Genomic DNA, 7217 nt, shown 5'->3' with positions numbered 1-7217 from the left:
TTCCTGACCTTGTGATCCACCCGCCTTGGCCTCCCAAAGTGCTGGCATTACAGGCGTGAGCCACTGCACCTGGCTAACTGCATGCTTTTTACGAGCAGAGGTGGTTCCCCTGTCCAGCCCACCACCACTGCACTGCCCCGTATATGAGTCCCCTCAATAAACCTTATGTCTCGGTCACTGGCTCCTGGTCTCTTCTTTGGTCTCTCAAACATGGTGCCATCCCTATCCTTTTTTTTGAGACAGGGTCTCACTCTGTCACCCAGGTTGGAGTGCAGTGGTGTGATCTTTGCTCACTGTAACCTCAAACTCCTAGTCTCAAGCAATTTTCCTGCCTCAGCCTCCCGAATAGCTAGGACTACAGGCCTGTACCACCATGCCCAGCTACTACTGAAGTCAGTAGAGGTCCAGCATGACACCATGTCAGACTTCTGACCTCCAGAACCATAAGATAATACATTTGTGTTGTTTTAAGCCACTTCGTTTATGGTAATTTGTTATAGTAGCCTTCAAAAAGTAATGCACTGACCCTGTCCTTTGCTGTGTGGACAGGTGGATGCCGTGTTCAACTGTGTTTTGCTTCTCGTCCGCCTTGGGGTTAGGTTTTTCACTGCTCAGTTGCCCCACCCACACCAACCTAGAGCACAGGGAGCAACTTTGAGAGGCATTCTGTTTCCAGGGCTTTATGCTGGGTCCACCCAGAGCCCTGTGGCCAGTCTTGGGGGTGAGAAAAGCCTGTTGGAAACTCATCCCTGTTCTCCGAATTTTAGGCACTTGCCTTCTAGAGAGTCACATTTCCCTCCCCAAACCCTTTCAGAAAATAGGATGTTCTCAGCGTCTTCATCTGTCTCAGCTTCCCCTGCTGGGAGAAATGAGGGAGGGAGCTTATTTTGTCAAAATATGGGTATGTGAGGGGACACCGGGAATCTGTTCAGAGAACCTAAGTAAGCCACGGCAAGGAGGCAGCACTGGAGAAACCTACACAGCTCTAGCCACCCAGCCCGGGGTGAGCTTGAGTGTGTTTCTGTGTTTTGCGCCTTGAGGGAAAATAAAGGGGTTGGGAGGGTGGAGGGCAGAGGGACAGTGCCCGAGTGCTCTGAAGTAAGGCTTCCCGCAGCCTCTTGCAGGCGGAAGGAGGATGCTGCTAAGGACACACAAAAGGCCTCCACATGCTCCCCATTGCCCATCCTTCCACAGTGCAACCTCCAGCCACAGCCCGGCCCCTAGCCTTGCCATGCTCACTTGTCCTGGTAGCCTGGCATTTTACCCCCAGGCTTGCTTTTATGTGTCCATATCATTACAGGTGTCCATGGCAGTCCTAACCCATCCTCTGGCCAAGACAAGGCAATCTCAGTCTTATCAAAATTTGGGATGTCAGCCCCAAATTCTTGGGGGTCAAGAAAGCAAATGCTTCAGCTGCAAGAAAGTCCTCTCTCTTTGCTGTCTCATTCTAAGCTCAAAGAAGGGTCAACATGAGAGCCAAGCCATTTGTGTTTCTGTTGATTTATTAGCGAGTGATGGAAACGCAGCTGGACCCATACAGAACACACGTGTAGCTGGCACACACCTCGAGAACCGCCCCCCCACCCCCATCCCCTGAATTCAGTGGTTCATTCCCAGAGTTTTCCCGCTGTGAGCTGCCTTGGTGGATCCAGCCCCTTAGCCCCCTCTCCTGCAGCAGAGCAGGATGTGGAAACGCTGACCAAAGGCCAACAGAGAGCCTGAGACCAATCCAGAGGAGAGGCAGCGTTCTCTCCTCCTGCAGAGAGAAGTCCCAGGGCCAATGAAGCAACCTTCTCCAGACACCTAATATTAACCATCACAAGGTGGATCACCATAGTCAACCATGTGTATTATGGGAACTACTTTTCACCCTTGTACCCAGTCTCCCTAGTACCCAACAATCCCCCAGATACTTTCGTCTCCAAGAAATTCCAGGAGGATTCTGGACAAGGCTGGATTTCTGCATGTCAGATCATGGGGAGTTTATAAGGCTAAGGGACAACTCTCATTGCTTCCACATGCATCTAGAAGCTCCTACTATGTGACAGCTCACGCTGGGTGAGGGTCAACATCTGGGCAGGAGCTTGGCCGGGTGAAAGATGGTTCCGCCCTGATCTAAGTGGATCCACAGCTCCCTTTTTATGGGGGAGGCTTTAGGAAGAATCTCTCCTGCCTGTCCTGCGTGGAGTGGTCTGGTTTTAGGGTTGTTCCTCTGCAGAGAGGAAGCAATTGGACCAAAGCAGAATCATGGATCCTTCCTCTGTTAGGATGCACAGGACAAGATGGCTGATGAGATACGTGGATGTTTCTAGACCCCAATGTGGATTTGTCCCCAAATGGATGATTTCAGAGTGAGAAGGGGACATCTCCATGGGTTGTGTTGAATCACAGGAGAGGCTATAAGAAATGAGGTCCTTCTTTTTGGGGGGCCGAGAAGATTCAAGTCTGAGAACCACATGGGTTGCAGGTGAGGCATGGACACTTCCAGGGAAAAGGCTTCTGAGAGGGACGGTCACCCTCAGTGTTCCATCTGGAGCCTTGGGGTCTCTTGGTGCTTATCGTTCAGGGGCCTGTCTCTGTCTCCACCACCTGGGCCAATGCCCGCCCCAGGGGGACAGGATGGTGGGTGGGAGCTGTCTCAGGGCACCATGTTCCACCACTTGAAAGAGAAGGGCTTTCTGCACACATTGGTGCCACAGTGCACCTCCCCATGCAGCATGTGGTATGGAGTGAAGTCATCAATGAAGGTGCAGTGGAGGCCCAGCGGCTCCAGCAGGGACCGCACCTTCTCCTCCAGGCAGCAGCAGCCATTGATGATGGGCCCAAAGGGCTTGGGGATGCCCAGGTGCTTCCCCAGCACCAGCATGTTCACCTGCAGTCCAAAGGGGAAGCAGCACTTCATCACTGGGCTCCCACCCCACACCTCTACTCTACCTGCAGGACCTAGGTTTGTGTTTTAGACAGCCTTGTCAATAGCTACTCACCCTTTCCTGTGCAATGAGAAGGTAACTGGCTAAAGGGGCTGGGAAGAACCGGTTAGCCAGGTGCCTTTGGGAGCATCCGCAGAACTCACTCTGGCAACGTGCTCTGGAAACTGCCCTAATGTGAATTTGGAATTGTGGATTGTGGCAGCTGCCATGTTTGTGCTGCAGAATCCCAACCTTCTAGGCCATAACTGATTGGGCCAGGGAGAACAGCTGGTCCAAGATGGACCAATCAGAGTCCCTCTCCCAGGAATTTGAAACTGACAATGGGAGCGTCTAGTTGGTCTCTGCCCGTGTCAGTGTCTCTGTGCATGGCCATACTCATCTTTGTCCCCAGGAACAGAGAAGCAAAGGAAGCCAAGCTGGAAGAAGAGGGAGAAGAAGTAGGAGGTGGAGAGGGTGAGAGAAAGAGAGAGAATGAATGATGTAGACACAGAAACAGAGAGGGTTCCAGGCTCTGCTGCAGCTATCCTGCCCTCAGGTTTCTGGTGTCCTTATATTAAGACTCCCTCTGGCTGAAGCTGGCTTCAGTAGGACTCTGTCTCTTGCGAACACAAGAACCTGAATCATTGCACAAACTTCTTGGGGCACATATATAATTACAAGATAGCCTCGAACAGGAAGGAAGGGGAGTGAAAAGAGGCTTTGCAAGCGGAGGGCAAAATGTTGCCTGAAAAGAGGAAGGAAAAAGCGGGGCATGAAGCAATGGTGGTGTGGACAGGTTCCCCACAAGGCTCTGACAATGGGCAAATTGAGTTCTTTTAGGGGATGAGGTGGGGAGGAGTGGAGAGGGGAGCTGGGTGACCTATAGCAGTGCTACTCAAACTGTGTTCCTCTAAAAGGCAGCATCAGCACCACCTGGGTGTTTGTTAGCGCGGCAGCAGTGCCTCGGGCCGTGCTTTAGACCTGCTGAATCAGGACCGCTGGGGTGGGGCCCCACCTGTCCAGGTGTTTCAAAGGCAAGCTCAAGATTTAGAAGCAGGCCAAGCACGGTGGCTTCCGCCTGTAATCCCAGCACTTTGGGAGGCCGAGGCTGGTGGATCACCGGAGGTCAGGAGCTCAAGACCAGCCTGGCCAACATGGCAAAACTCCATCTCTACTAAAAATACAGAAATTAGCCGGGCGTGGTGGTGCACGCCTGCAATCCCACAATCCCAGCTACTCAGGAGGCTGAGGCAGGAGAATCGCTTGAACCCTGGAGGCTGAGGTTGCAGTGAGTGAGATTGTGCCACTGCCCTCCAGCCTGGGCAACAGAGTGAGACTCCGTCTCAAAAAAAAAAAAAGAAAAAAAGAAAAAAAGATTTACAAGCATCAGAGGCAAAGCCCTCAAGGCTCAGTCAAAAGCCACTTCTTCCATGAAGACTTCCTGGATCTCCAGTTCTACCTCTTAGGCTGGAAGTGCTTTGTCTCACCTCCAAACTGCCACATCGCCTTATCCTACAAAATAGATCACTGGGACATGTCCTCAGAGAAGGGAAGAGTTTCCCTCTCAACCGATTAGACTGAAAGTCCCTTGAGAGCAGGGGGCATTCTTAATCATCTCTGCATCTGCCACAGGACACCCTAAATACATGTGGGATGGATGAAGAGCCACAAGCTGGGAGGAAGAGAGCAGAATGAGCATCTGGGTTCCCAGCTGATGCCATGTGCTTTGCACACGTGACCTCATGCAATCATTCATTCACTCCACAAATGTCAAGTGGACCCCTTCCCTGATGCCCCTTGGGCCAGGGCTTGGCCAGCAAGCATTCCACAGGGACCATGGTGGTCAGCCAGCTAGAAGCCCTTCTGAGGAGCACCATAGGACCCCTGATTCTCCCTGCCACCCCCACTGGCCACCACAATCCTAAATATGACTGTGACCAGACATTTTTCCTCTCTCGAGCTTAGAGGTTTGCAGCCTGATTTGGCAAAGGAGTCATGGGTAGTGCCCTCACCAAGTCAGGGAAGAAGGCCGTTGCTTTTTTCCTCTCGGTCTTGAAGAGCTGTGGGATGTCAATGATGTCACACTCTGCCAGGCCCAGCTCCCGCTTCAGCACCTCACGGTTCCAGTCGATGCAGCTCTGGGGGCAGGGGAGGGCCAGAGTTGGGGACACCTTGCCAGTGTGTTTTGGGGGCACCAAGGCATCCTGTCGCTCCCCTCACTTCTTCTGGGTCAAAAGAGGGTGTTGGGACCCCTCTGTCTGGGCCTGTTCTAACCTGAGCTTTCATGAACAGTTAGCCTCAGATGTCTGTATCCCATCCTTGCCTCCAGCCCCGCCTACTCCCAAATCACAGCCCACAGGTACACCACAGCCCTTGTACCTGCACAAACTTATTGTAGTTGATGAGGTCTTTATTGGAGAGCACCTGGTTGATGGAGATGGTCTTGACCTGCTCATCATCTGTGAAGGAGAGAGATGAAAGAGAAGGACAGGGACAGCACCAACGTGAGGACCACCTGCTTAGGGAAGCAGACAGGCAGGAGCCAAGTTCACAGCTAATGGTCTTGCCGAGTCAGCAGCCTCTGACTTTCCCAGGCCTTGGGTGGGTTCCACCTGTCTGAGCTTGCCTTGGCCACTGTGCACATCTTGGGGTATAAGGAGTGGGAGGGTCTGGTTGCCACAGTGGAATGAACTGAGACCTTTATTTGAGTTCACTGGAAGTGGTAACGCCTGTCACTGGAAATGTACAACTGCCCGAGGGCACTGGATGAGGAATCCTCTTGCTTTGGCTTAGCGGGGAGCTGGGTCAGTTGCTGCCCACCCACCCACCATCAGTCAGGTTTTATAGGTTCACTGAGCAGCGAACCAGCCAGTCCTGGGATTCAGACACCATCCAGCCCCAATCCTGCCCTTCAGGGGGTGACTGCGTGAAATGGGGACCTCCCAGGGGTCCAGATTTTCTCAGCCTGATGGTGTGCCCATGCAGATGAGACTGGACAGGGAAGCGGAGGCTAGAGTCAATGGCACACAATCCTCATGGCTGCTACTTAGTAAGCGCTTACCATGAGCAGGCCCCGAGGGGAGTGCCCAGGTTCAGCATCTCATTTAACCCTCACGGTGACCCCCACAAGGTATGCATTATGATCCCCACTTTACAGATGAGAAAACTGAGGCTCAGAGAGGTCAGAAGACTTGCCAAAGGTCACACAGGTAGGATATGTGGGGGCTTGTGATTCAAACCCAAGCCCAGGGCTCGCACAGGGCCTCAAGCCTTGACCAAGGGAAAGGAGAGGGCTCCCCTGACCCATCTGCAGGTCTAACGCCCGCTTCACCCCAGTTTAAGGCAGGAAGCTGGGGTCCAGTCCCAGCTCCACTGCAATCTTGCTGAGGCCTCTGGGCCAGTGACATCCCCTCTCTGAGCCTCACATTCTTGGGAATAAAGGTGGGTGAGAGTCATCCCATTTGATCTCTCGTGAGATCAAATGAGATAACACGTGTGATGCACACAGCGTGAGGCCTGGCGCACTGAGGTGTCTAATCAGTGCTCTGGCCTCTGTGTCTGGCCTCTGTGTCTATGTAATTAATCGCCACAGTCACTGCCTGAGTGTCAGCCCTCGAGGGTGGGGTGGCTGCTTGTGGCCTGCCATCTGTGAATTCTCCCACGCTCCCTCCCAGCTGGGCAGGTTGGAATAACTCTGCTCAACCCATTCCTGGGTCTTGCTCACCATAAGTTCTCCCAGGAAAGATGAAGGTGGCATTTCTCCCTGCCTGGTACATAATTTGGATTTAAGGATTTCTAAGACTTACTCTAGGTTCACCGGAGTCTAGTTAGGGTGCGTTTGGGAGCAACAGGGTCAAGAAAGACTATTTCTCTTCCATTTTATTGCTAAGGCTCCAGGGTTGTGTTGGAAGAAGTTAACGCTAGCAAACAGAGAGCAAGGGGACTTTGGAAATTATTATACTTGGGGGCGTCTAAGTTCTACAGGAGCTTTTTTTCTCTCTGAGCTGTGTTTGGTCTAGGATGCTATCTGCCTTCCCTGAGGCCATGGGACCAAGAAAATCTATGATCCTGCGTGTCAAAGGGTCTTTGCCCTGGGACCTCTGGGGTCACTGAGAAAGGGAGGATCCTCTGGGATTCATGCAGTCTCAGTGGGGCTGGAAAGGGAGTGAATTTGAGAACGCTTCCAGCAAGCTTGCCAGATGACTCCAGTCCAGCCAGCTCTCTCTCTCTCAAAATTCTTCCAGTGCAAAACAAAAAACAAAACAAAAAAAAGTGGGCCCTGGCCAGACACAGTAGTTCACACCTGTA

The 7217-nt window shown here is 52.5% G+C and overlaps 1 protein-coding gene across 3 annotated transcripts in view; it reads right to left on the bottom strand.

Moving 5' to 3' along the window:
- Window positions 1485-7217, bottom strand: part of PADI3 (peptidyl arginine deiminase 3) — a 35136-nt gene continuing 29403 nt past the window's right edge. For all 3 annotated transcript variants that reach the window (NM_016233.2, XM_011541571.3, XM_017001463.2), the window contains 3 exons: window positions 5289-5368; window positions 4922-5047; window positions 1485-2872 (listed from right to left, as the gene is read on the bottom strand). In NM_016233.2, coding sequence (NP_057317.2) covers window positions 2639-2872; window positions 4922-5047; window positions 5289-5368 — 440 coding nt within the window. In that variant the 3' untranslated portion in view covers window positions 1485-2638. The remainder of the gene's footprint in view (window positions 2873-4921; window positions 5048-5288; window positions 5369-7217) is intronic.

Source organism: Homo sapiens, chromosome 1 (assembly GCF_000001405.40).
Source record: "Homo sapiens chromosome 1, GRCh38.p14 Primary Assembly".
In the NCBI taxonomy this organism is placed as follows: Eukaryota; Metazoa; Chordata; class Mammalia; order Primates; family Hominidae; genus Homo; species Homo sapiens.
This window is presented reverse-complemented; position numbering and strand designations above follow the sequence as displayed.